This window comes from Homo sapiens, chromosome 11 (genome assembly GCF_000001405.40).
Source record: "Homo sapiens chromosome 11, GRCh38.p14 Primary Assembly".
Taxonomy (NCBI): domain Eukaryota; kingdom Metazoa; phylum Chordata; class Mammalia; order Primates; family Hominidae; genus Homo; species Homo sapiens.
Window position 1 is genome coordinate 56,026,633 of NC_000011.10, and position 12,795 is coordinate 56,039,427.

The window sequence follows — 12,795 nt, forward strand, 5'->3', positions numbered from 1 at the left end:
TCTATATGAATGAGTGCATTTTTGAACCATTTACTGGATGCTCTCAAAGGTTGACAACTTTGTTTAAACCTTCTCTTTCTAACATAGGTCCACCTATTAAATAGAAAGCCCTTCTGGAAGCCACAAAACTGATTTCAATTTTCCTACCAGGTATAGAAGAGAAGCCAGGTGGGATCCTGTATTTATCCACTCCCTAGTCTGTCAATCTTAAGAATCATAAGGTATAGACTATGCCATCATCAATCATTTAAAGAACATTACAATCTAGAGCAGTGTTATAAAGTATTAAAAAATACTGTTGCAAACAGTGCTATAATTGTTAGAGAAAACGTAGAGTCATGGAACAAGTACCATCTGTTGAACAAGTGGCCTTGAGTCATCTCAATCTTGACAAGAATTTGATGTGTGCAATTATTATTCACAATTTAAAAATTAGTAAACATTAGTTTAAATGAGTAGTTCAAGGTCCCATAGCCATGAAATGGCACAACTGCTCTAGGTTGCCTGAATCACCAGTGTTTACTCTAGTAGCTTAACATTCAAGGCATACTTCTTTCTAGACACTCCAACAATGGAAAAGCAACCAAACATTAGAGTGCCTGAGATTCTTCTCAATATATTGAGCTTGTACTTTAGAATTCGATAATATGACTAAATACTTCAAAGTATCATTAAGTAACTGAATTCATAATGAGAACTGATAGAAATAAGAATTTACAGAAGAATTTTTTTTTGGCTGGTAGAATTAAAAGACTGTTGTTTTAATCAAACCTCTCTCAATGATGAAGACAGGTTATGTTATTACTGGTTACAGTATAGCCAATTGTGTTATTATCCTTTACCTTTTTTCATTTAAGAGAAATCAGCTAAGCCACATACCTATACCACTAGGATGAGAACAATTAACTATCAGACACCCTACTGGGATTGGAAATTATCTTGGGACACTGTCTCACTTGTCACAGACTAGAATATATATACTCATCCCTTATAAGAATTATTTCTAAAACCTAGAGAAAAATGTTGATAGCCCATTGTGCAAAATAAGTGATAAAATTCAAAGTTCTTGATGGTGCTGAGGTAAGTGATTTTTTCCCTAAAGCATTAACAAAATGTTTGTTGTGAATGTAGCAAAGACCATGAATTTGCCTCAGATAAAATGTATCTCTGCTATTTCTGTGTGTGTGTGTGTGTGTGTGGTGTGTTTCAGTTTGTGTATGTATGTGGGCTAAGAGTGGGCAGAAGACGGTGGTAGCATAGACCTAAGCTTACCTTATCCATGGCAATTAGAAAAAAAAATGTCACGCCCAATTCGTTGTGTACCTTATTGCCATGAGAAGGAAGCTGACTATGCCTATTAAGAATTTTTGGAAAAACAATGGTGTAATAATTTTCTGTAGCAGCATGCTAAACCTCAGATTTTATAAGCACAAATCACATATTCACCTGCAGTGTGGTTAATTGTTTGTGTTTGTTCATATAAAAACAAACTAGGAGAATTTGTCATTTCAAAGTCAGATATTGAATTGTTAAATAATCATAATAGCATTAATAGTAATAATTATAATATATAATAACATACATTTTGATGCATCTACAGCATACCAACCTCTGTAAAGCTACCTAGTTCAATCTTGATTTCAGTCTTATAATATATTATTATGCTAATTAAATATAACAAATAATTTAGGCATAGAGAAGTTCAATGAGTTCTAGAAAATTATATTTGGACCTGAGGTTATTTATACTCATTTGCCTAACTTCAAATCCTGTGTGCTTAAGCTCAGCACAATGCCATTTGTAAAGAAAAGATTGAGTGAAATCAGTACTAATATTTCTGCTATCTGCGTATCTCCTTCAAAGAGAATAGCAAATAAAGTTTATTAATAGACATCTTTTAGAAATAGGAGGTTTGTCAAATGAGATTTCCCTAAGATCCAGTGGGGTCCAACTCATTTTGGGAGATTTTTCTGATTTCAGTTCAGAGCAGCGTGAGATAAATCCTGTAGGAAAAGGAAAGTTGTCTTGAGATGCTCAGTCTCTCACTGGACAATTGACTACAAAACCCCTTTAAATCGTTTTGTAGTTGTCATGGGACTCAAGAAAGAAAAATAAGACTTTGATCCCATAACTTGTTTTTGGATATAATATATAAACTCATTAAAATCATTAATGGAAATGTCACTTGTTTGGATGAGCCTGTGTATTCGATTTAGCCATCCCATCGGAAATGTTAGTGTGGAAATTTGCTAGGGTTGGCCAGGAATAATAGAGAAAATATACATCCAGTTGTGAGGATTTGAATATTATATAAAGCTTGCAAATGTGTACATTTTTCTAGTATTTTTTCAGAGTTGGGATTTCTTCACTATAGTTTTAGGTACACACATTGCATTCTTACCCTGTCAAGTTATTTGCTCTTCTAAAAAATCTGAGTTCACAAAGAAGGCTGGCTTCTCTTTTCGGTACATTTAGAAGATTCCTTGCCATTTGGCTGGAGAAAGGAGGTTCTGAGGTTATCAGGCATGATAGAGACAATAGATCTCATAATTTCCCTTAGTTACTCACTACGTTACTCACCATAGACACTTCTCACTTCCAAATGATCTAGCTTCCTGCTTAATATTCCATTCGCATTGTATTTTATTTAAAATCATCTCAGCTTTTCTTGTTCTTGATTATTTTTTCATTTTTCCATACAATGTTTGTCCTTACAGAACCAGTTTAGAAGTCCAATCGCATATGCAGCCCTTCAAAACATACTAATGTTTCTGGAACCTCACACCAAACAGTGCTTACTTCAGAGATTAGAAAGTAAACTAAATCTTGAAAAAGAAAGCAACAATGATAGGGCATGAGTAAAAGATTTAGTATGCCAAACAATACATTTGTATATAGCACACACACACACACACACACGACTTATTTTTACAACAGAAAACAAATAATGCATCTATGATGTCAAAGACAAGATGAATATTGAGAATGATCTGGATATTTCATGGTGTTCAGACAAAAAAAACCCCAAAACAATCAAAATGGAGTCAATTTATTTATTTTTAATAAATTTTATTTAATCAGCGCTCACACAGTGACTTGTATGTGTAGTCACATAAGTGATGTAGGGATGTCTACTTACTAGGAATATTTATTTATTCATCTTAACTATCACAGAAAGTCAAATAACTATACCAAAGTCACACAAACAGTAAATAGCAAAGCCAAGTTGTAAATCCAGCCATCTCTTCCATAATTACCATGCTCTTAACTACCACGTTAAGTAACCTCCCAACATCACAGATATTCTTCTGTGTGATTACACAGTTTTAAATATGGACATTCTTTCATATTTTATCTCAACTCTCCTTTATGTAGAAGAATGTGATTTTAGGGTTGCAAAAAGAGAGCTTTGCCTCTAAAGATTTTGCCAACTCTCATTATTCTACTAGGTCTCATTACATGAGCTACATTTATCCCTTTCAGCTTGTAAAAACTATTATCATCACATAAAGTGCAGCGCGTTTAAAGAGGTACTATATTATAAAACACCACCATCTAAATAACATTTTCTGCTATCAATGGTGATCTTTAATTATTATACTTCCTTTAATCAAATGACAAAATCAAAATCAAAATTTACAAAAAATGACATCTCTGTGATTTTACTGACCTTCTATTTGATTCCTTAGAAGAGAGAATAAAGATACTTTTGGTTCATCCATAACTCAAGTTAACTCACATCTGCTGATACTACCTAGGTCCAGTGGGAAAAACAAGAAAACTAAGATGTTGGAGAGTAATTACACCATGCCAACTGAGTTCCTATTTGTTGGATTCACAGATTATCTACCTCTCAGAGTCACACTGTTCTTGGTATTCCTTCTGGTATATACATTAACTATGGTCGGAAATATACTCTTAATAATTCTAGTTAATATTAATTCAAGCCTTCAAATTCCCATGTATTATTTTCTTAGCAACTTATCTTTCTTAGACATCAGCTGTTCTACAGCAATCACTCCTAAAATGCTGGCAAACTTCTTGGCATCCAGGAAAAGCATCTCTCCTTATGGGTGTGCACTACAAATGTTTTTCTTCGCTTCTTTTGCTGATGCTGAGTGCCTTATCCTGGCAGCAATGGCTTATGACCGCTATGCAGCCATCTGCAACCCACTGCTCTATACTACACTGATGTCTAGGAGAGTCTGTGTCTGCTTCATTGTGTTGGCATATTTCAGTGGAAGTACAACATCACTGGTCCATGTGTGCCTCACATTCAGGCTGTCATTTTGTGGCTCCAATATCGTCAATCATTTTTTCTGTGATATCCCACCTCTTCTGGCTTTATCATGTACAGACACTCAGATCAACCAGCTTCTGCTCTTTGCTTTGTGCAGCTTCATCCAGACCAGCACTTTTGTGGTAATATTTATTTCTTACTTCTGCATCCTCATCACTGTGTTGAGCATCAAGTCCTCAGGTGGCAGAAGCAAAACATTCTCCACTTGTGCTTCCCACCTCATAGCAGTCACCTTATTCTATGGAGCGCTCCTGTTTATGTACTTACAGCCCACCACTAGCTATTCCCTAGACACTGATAAGGTGGTGGCAGTGTTTTATACTGTTGTATTTCCCATGTTTAATCCAATAATTTATAGTTTCAGAAACAAGGATGTGAAAAATGCTCTCAAAAAGCTATTAGAAAGAATTGGATATTCAAATGAATGGTATTTAAATCGTTTAAGAATAGTCAATATCTAACTTACCCTTCCAATCTCATAAACAGCAATTATGCCATGAACATCTTATGTGTTAACTATTTTAAATTTATCACATTTTCAGAAATAAAGATAACTTGTTATACTCAGTGCATTAAAATGCTTCATCCTCTCTTCCAAAAATGTTCTCTCCACAATTCTACTCTATAAAACATTACCTAATTAAACATAGTCATTATTTATATCCAATTAGTGTTTCTAAAATGCTTTGTACATTGATTCTGTTCTTTACGATGTTGTATTGAAGGTAAATATTGACTTTTCAGTCAATCAATCGGTATTAGAAGCTACTTGGCAGCAGAGCATGTGTATATTGGCTTGTTTTTTCCACCACCTGTTTGGCACCTGGTATACTGCATGTCTTCCTTATCTGTGTGTTTAGGCCATTTATGCATAGAGTTCCATTATTGGAACACTAAGCATCCTACTGCTCAAGGTCATCGCCAAGGTCTGATTTCAAAAATTCAAAATATTGTAACCTCAGACATAAATTTAAGTATGGATGGAGGGATGGATAGATGGATAGATAGATGAATGACTGGGAAAATACAGCCTTATTTTATTTGGACAGTGAGTCTATATTTGTACTCACAAAGCATTTGTCAATAGAGATATTTTATAATACCAATAATCTGTTAGGGATACTGATGGTGGTTTCACTGGTTCTCAAGAAATTAGAAGACATGTAGCAATAGTCTCATTATTATTAAGTCAGAATGAAGATACATCACATTGTCTTTGGGCTAAGTTGATTACTGCAAGAAATTCCCTACTTTTTCATTCAGAGTGGGTAATTGTGAAAAACAAGTTTGTGAATACTATCAAGATTATAAACTGTAGAATTTCCTAATTATTTATATTCATGTTGCTAACATAGTCTTTGAGGCTCTATCTTCAAGAAGAGGTGAAAATTACACTGATCTTTTATTCTGTAAATTTACAATGCAAGGCAATTAAAGTATAAACAATTTTTACTCTGTAATCGATTTTGATAATTAAATTATCAGATTTTTTGTGGTTTATTCTGATCTTTCAGTCTGAAGTCTCTATTTACTTTTTGTCTTATTTTGACAAAGTTAAAGTGATACACCATGTACATGTGAAATAAAAAAGTGTGCATTTTGTAATAATTATGAAAATATAAATGGTTGGATTAGTTATATTGAATTTAACCTTGGACATGGAGACAATAAGATAGCACCTAATGAAATGGATTGTTTTGAGTATTAAGTAAAGTTATATATGTAAAATTACTGGTATATGTATATGATTTGAAAATTAAATAATCTAATATTTATAGACATACCATGAAGATACTGTGGGTTCTCTTCTAGATCACTACAATAAAGCAACTGACGCAGTAAAGTGTCACACAAATTTTTAGATTTCTCAGTGCATATCATAGTTATGTTTGGTGGCTGGCAAGATGGTCAAATAGGAGATGCTCCAGTCTGCTGCTCCCAGCAAGATCAACAGAGAAGGTGGGTGATTTCTGCATTTCCAACTGAGGTACCTGGCTCATCTCATTGGGACTGGTTAGACAGTGGGTGCAGCCCATGGTGGGTGAGCAGAAGCAGGGTGGGGTGTTGCTTCACCCGGGAAGCACAAAGGGTTGGCAAACTCCCTCCACTAGCCAAGGGAAGCCATGAAGGACTGTGCCATGAGGAACGGGTGCACTCTGGCCCAGATACTATGCTTTTCCCATCGTCTTCACAACACACGGACCAGGAGATTCCCTTGGGTGCCTACATCACCAGCTCCCTGGGATTGAAGCACAAAACTCGGTGGCTGTTTGGGCAGGCACTGAGCTAGCTGCAGGAGTTTTCTTCATACCCCAGTGGCACCTGGAATGCCAGCGAGACAGAACCATTCACTCCCCTGGAAAGGGGGCTGAAGCCAGGGAGCCAAGTGGTCTAGCTCAGCAGATCCCACCCCCATGGAGCCCAGCAAGCTAAGATCCACTGGCTTGAAATTCTTCCTGCAAGCATAGCAGTCTGAAGTTGACCTGGGATGCTCGAGCTTGGTTGGAGGAGGAGAGTCCGCCATTGCTGAGGCTTCAGTAGGCAGTTTTCCCCTCATAGTGTAAACAAAGCTGCCAGGAAGTTTGAACTGGGTGGAGCCCACCGCAGCACTGCAAAACCTCTGTAGCCAGACTGCCTCTCTAGATTCCTCCTCTCTGGGCAGGGGATCTCTAAAAAAAAGGCAGCAGCCCCAGTTAGGGGCCTAGAGATAAAACCCCCATCCCCCTGAGACAGAGCACCTTAAGGAAGGGATGGCTGTGGGTGCAGCTTCAGCAGATTTAAATGTCCCTGCCTGCTGGCTCTAAGGAGAGCAGCATACCTCCCAGCACATCGTTCAAGCTCTCCTAAGAGATAGACTCCTGCATCAAGTGGGTCCTTGACCCCGTGACTCTTGACTGGGAGACACCTTCCAGTAGGGGTTGACAGATACCTCATAGGAGAGAGCTCCAGCTGGCATCTCACAGGTGTGCCTCTAGGATGAAGCTTCCAAAGGAAGGAACGGGCAGCAATCTTTACTGTTCTGCAGCCTTCGCAGGCAAACAGGGTCTGGAGTGGATCTCCAGCAAACTCCAGCAGACCTGCAGCAGAGGGGCCTGACAATTAAAAGGAAAACTAAGGAATAGCATCAATATCAACAAAAAGGACGTCCACTCAGAAACTCCACCACCAACATCAAAGACCAAAGGTAGATAAATGCATGATGGTGAGGAAAAACCAATGCAAAAAGGCTGAAAATTTCTAAAACCAGACATCTCTTCTCCCACAAAGGATCACAATTCCACGCCAGCAAGGAAACAAAACTGGACAGAGAATGAGTTTGATGAATTGATGGAAGTAATTGGGTAATAACAAATAGAAGAATTGGGTAATATCAAACTCCTCTGAGCTAAAGGAGCATGTCCTAACTCAATGCAAAGAAGCTAAGAACCTCGAAAAATGGTTAGAGGAATTGCTAATTAGAATAACTGGTTTGAAGAGAACATAAATAACCTGATGGAGCTGAAAAACACAGCACGAGAACTTCATGAAGCATACACAAGCATCAATAGCCAAATCGATCAAACAGAAGGAAGGATATCAGAGATTGAAGATCAACTTAATGAAATAAAGCTTGAAGACAAGATTAGAGAAAAAAGAATGCAAAGAAATGAACAAAGCCCCCAGGGATTATGGGACTATGTGAAAAGAGCAAACATATATTTGATTGGTGTACCTGAAAGTGAGGGGGAGAATGGAACCAACTTGGAAAACACTCTTCAGGATATCATCCAGGAGAAACTCCCCAACCTAACAAGACAGGCCAACATTCAAATTCAGGAAATACATGTAACACCACAAAGATACACCTCAAGAAGAGCAACCCCCAGACACATAATCATCAGATTCACCAAGGTGGAAATGAAGGAAAAAATGTTAAGGTGTTAAGGACAGCCAGAGAGAAAGCTCACATTACCCACAAAGGGAAGCCCATCAGACTAACAGCGGCTGTCTCAGCAGAAACCCTATAAGCCAGAAGTGAGTGGGGGCCAATATCCAACAGTCTTAAAGAAAAGAATTTTAAATGCAGAGTTTCATATTCAGCCAAACTAAGCTTCATGAGTGGAGGGAAATAAAATCCTTTACAGAAAAGCAAATGCTGAGAGATTTTGTCACCACCAGGCCTGCTTTACAAGAGCTCCTGAAGGAAGCACTAAACATGGAAAGGTACAACTGGTAACAGCCACTGCAAAAAAAACAAATTTTAAAGAACATTGACACTACGAAGAAACCACATCAGCTAATGGGCAAAATAACCAGCTAGCATCATAATGACAGGATCAAATTCACACATAACAATATTAACCTTAAATGTAAATGGGCTGAAAGCCCCAGTTAAAAGCCACAGACTGGCAAATTGGATAGAGTCAAGACCGATTGGTGTGCTGTATTCAGGAGACCGATCTCATGTGCAAAGCATACATAGGCTCAAAATAACGGGATGGAGGAATATTTACCAAGCAAATGGATAGCAAATAAAGAAAAAAGAAAAAAAAAACAACAAAGCACAGGGGTTGTAATCCTAGTCTCTGATAAAACAGACTATAACCAAAAAAGATCAAAAGAGATAAAGAAGGCAATACATAATGGTAAAAGGATCAATGCAACAAGAAGAGCTAACTATACTAAATATATATGTACCCAATACAAGAGCACCCAAATTCATAAAGCCAGTTCTTAGAGATCTATGAAGAGACTTAGACTAACACACAAAAATAGTGGGAGACTTTAACACCCCACAGTCAACATTAGACAGACCAAGACAGAAAATTAACAAGGATATTCAGGACTTGAACTCAGCTCTGGACCAAGCAGACCTAATAGACCTCTACAGAACTCTACACCCCAAATCAATAGAATATACATTATTCTCAGCACCACATTGCATTTATTCTAAAATTGACCACAATATTGCAAGTAAAATACTCCTCAGCAAATGCAAAACAATGGAAATCATAACAGTCTCTCAGACCACAGTGCAATCAAATTAGAACTCAGGATTAAGAAACTCACTCAAAACCACACATCTACATGGAAACTGAACAACCTGCTCATGAATGACTACTGGGTAAATAATGAAAATAAAGCAGAAATAAATAAGTTATTTGAAACCAATGAGAACAAAGACACAAGGTATCAGAATCTCTGGGACATAGCTAAAGCAGTGTTTAGAGGAAAATTCACAGTACTAAAGGCCCACAAGAGAAAGCAGGAAAGATCTAAAATCAACACCCTAACATCACAATTAAAAGAACTAGATAAACAAGAACAAACAAATTCAAAAGCCTCAGAAGACAAGAAATAACTAAGATCAGAGCAGAACTGAAGGAGATAGAGACATGAAAAACCCTTCAAAAAATCAATGAATCCAGGAGTTGGTTTTTGGAAAAGATCAACAAAATAGAAAGAACACTAGCCAGACTAATAAAGAAGAAAAGAGAGAAGAATCAAATAGACACAATAAAAAATTATAAAGGGGATATCACCACTGTTCCCACAGAAATACAAACTACCATCAGAGAATACTATAAACACCTCCACACAAATAAACTAGAAAACCTGGAAGAAATGGTTAAATTCCTGGAAACACACACCCTCCCAAGTCTAATCCAGGAAGAAGTCAAATCCATGAATAGACCAAAAACAAGTCCCAAAATTGAGGCAGTAATTAATAGCCTACCAACAAAAAATAGTCCAGGACCAGCCAAATTCTACCAGACATACAAAGAGGAGCTGGTACTATTCCTTCTGAAACTATTCCAAGCAATAGAAAACGAGAGGCTCCTCCCTAACTCATTTTATGCGGCCAGCATCATCCTGATATGAAAACCTGGCAGAGACACAGCAAAAAAAGAACATGCCAGGCCAATATCCCTGATGAACATGATGCAAAAATCCTCAAAAAATACTGGCAAACTGAATTCAGCGGCACATCAAAAAGCTTATCCACCAATCAAATTGGCTTTATCCCTGGGATGCAAGGCTGGCTTAACATACGCAAATCAATAAACGTAACCCATCTCATAAACAGAACCAATGACAAAAGCACATGTTTATCTCAACAGATGCCGAAAAGGCCTTTGATAAAATTCAACACCCTTCGTGCTAAAAACTCTCAATAAACTAGGTATTGACAAACATATCTCCAAATAATAAGAGCTATTATGACAAACCCACAGCCAATATCATACTGAATGGGCAAAAACTGGACGCATTCCCTTTGAAAACCGGCACAAAACAATGATGCCCTCTCTCACCACTCCTATTCAACATAGTATTGAAAGTGCTGGCCAGGGCAATCAGGCAAGATAAAGAAATAAAGGATATTCAAATAGGAAAAGAGGAAGTCAAATCGTCTCTGTTTGCAGATGACATGATTGTATATTTAGAAAACCCCATCGTCTCAGGCCAAAATCTCCTTAAGCTGATAAGCAACTTCAGCAAAATGTCAGGATACAAAATCAATGTGCAAAAATCACAAGCATTCCTATACACCAATAACAGACAAACAGAGCCAAATCGAATGAACTGCCATTCACAATTGCTACAAAAGAGTGTAAAATACCTAGAAATACAACTTACGAGGGATATGAATGACCTCTTCAAGGAGAACTACAAATTAGTGCTCAAGGAAATAAGAGAGGACACAAACAAATGGAAAAACATTCCATGCTCATGGATATGAAGAATCAATATCATGAAAATGGCCATCTACTGCCCTAAGTAATTTTTAGATTCAATACTATCCCCGTCAAGCTATCATTGAATTTCTTCACAGAATTAGAAAAAAAAAAAAACTACTTTAAATTTCATGTGGAACCAGAAAACAGCCCATGTAGCCCAGGCAATCCTAAGCAAAAAGAACAAAGCTGGAGGCATCATGCTACCTGGCTTCAAACTATACTACAAGGCTACAGTAATAAAAACAGTATGGTCCTGGTACCAAAGCAGATATATAGACCAATGGAACAGAATAGAGGCCTCACAAATAACACCACACATCTACAACCATCTGATCTTTGACAAACCTGACAAAAACAAGCAATGAGGAAAGGATTCCCTATTTAATAAATGGTGTTGGGAAAACTGGCTAGCCATATGCAGAAAGCAGAAACTGGACCCCTTCCTTATATCTTATACAAAAATTAACTCAAGATGGATTAAAGACTTAAACATAAAACCATCAACACGCTGAACCATGCACTTGCCTTGCTATTGATGGCTTCTGTCTGATCACAGTGATGTGTGGCTGTGGCATTTTCTAAAAATAATAAAATAGTAAAGTTTGTCATGTAGATTGACTCTTCTTTTGATGAAGATTTATCTGAAGCATGTAATGCTGTTTGATAGCTTTTTACTCACAGTAGAACTTCTTTCAAAATTAAAATCAATCCTTTCAAACTTGCCACTGCTTTATTAACTACATTTATGTACTCTCTAAAATATTTGTGGTCATTTCAATGATCTTCACAATATCTTCATCAGGAGTAGATTTAATCTCAAGAAACCACTTTCTTTGCTAATCCATAAAAAACAAGTTCTCATTTATTCAAGTTTTATGAAAGTGATTCTGGATATCTAGTCACATCTTCAGGCTCCACTTCTAATTCCAGTTATTTTGATATAGCCACCATATCTGCAGGTGTTTACTACACTCTTGAATGCTTCAAGCCATCCAAGAGGGTTTGGAATCAACTTCTTTCAAACTTTTATTCATGTTGATATTTTTACCTCCTTCCATAAATGAAGAATGTTTTAATGGCATCAGGAATGATGAATCCTTTCTGGGAGGTTTTCTAATTACTTTACCCAGATTCATCAGAGGAATCATTATTTATAGCAGCTTTAGTCTTACAAAATACGTTTCTTACATAATGAAAGTTAAAATTACTTTTTGGCTAATGGACTGCAAAATGGATATCGTGTTAGCAAGCATGAAAAAAACATCAATCTCATTGTGCATCTCCTTCAGAGCTGTTGGGTGACCAGGTACATTGTTAATGATCAGTTATATTTTCAAAGAATTTTTTTTCTGAGCGGATCTCACCAGTGGGCTTAAAATGCTCAATAAACCATGCTGTTAATAGATGTGCTGTCATCCAAATTTTGTTGTTCCATGTATAGAGCAAAGGCAGAGTAGATTTAGCATAATTCTTAAGGGTCTTAGGACTTTTTGATTTGTAAACAAGCATTAATTTTAACTTAATATCACCAGCTCCATTAGCCCCTAACCAGAGAGTCAGCCAGTCCTTTGAAACTTTGAAGACAGGTGTGATGGTTAATACTGAGTGTCAACTTGACTGGATTGAAGGATGCAAAGTATTGATCCTGGGTGTGCCTGTGAGAGTGTTGCAAAGGAGTCTAACATTTGAGCCAGTGGGCTACGAAAGGCAGACCCACCCTTAATCTAGGTGGGCATCTTCTACTCAACTGCCAATGCAGCCAGGATATAAAGTAGG

The 12,795-nt window shown here is 37.1% G+C and overlaps 1 protein-coding gene across 1 annotated transcript; it reads left to right on the forward strand.

Annotated features, from left to right (window-relative positions):
- Positions 1 to 1,021: 1,021 nt before the first annotated feature.
- On the forward strand, positions 1,022 to 11,559 carry OR5AS1 (olfactory receptor family 5 subfamily AS member 1). Its single transcript, NM_001001921.2, has 2 exons — positions 1,022 to 1,080; positions 3,759 to 11,559. The coding sequence occupies exon 2, from the start codon at positions 3,787 to 3,789 to the stop codon at positions 4,759 to 4,761; it is 975 nt and encodes a 324-aa protein (NP_001001921.1). The 5' UTR covers positions 1,022 to 1,080; positions 3,759 to 3,786; the 3' UTR covers positions 4,762 to 11,559.
- Positions 11,560 to 12,795: the final 1,236 nt, after the last annotated feature.

Excerpts from the sequence above, each read along its gene's own strand:
- OR5AS1 (NM_001001921.2), top strand. The coding sequence starts at position 3,787 with ATGTTGGAGAGTAATTACACCATGCCAACTGAGTTCCTATTTGTTGGA.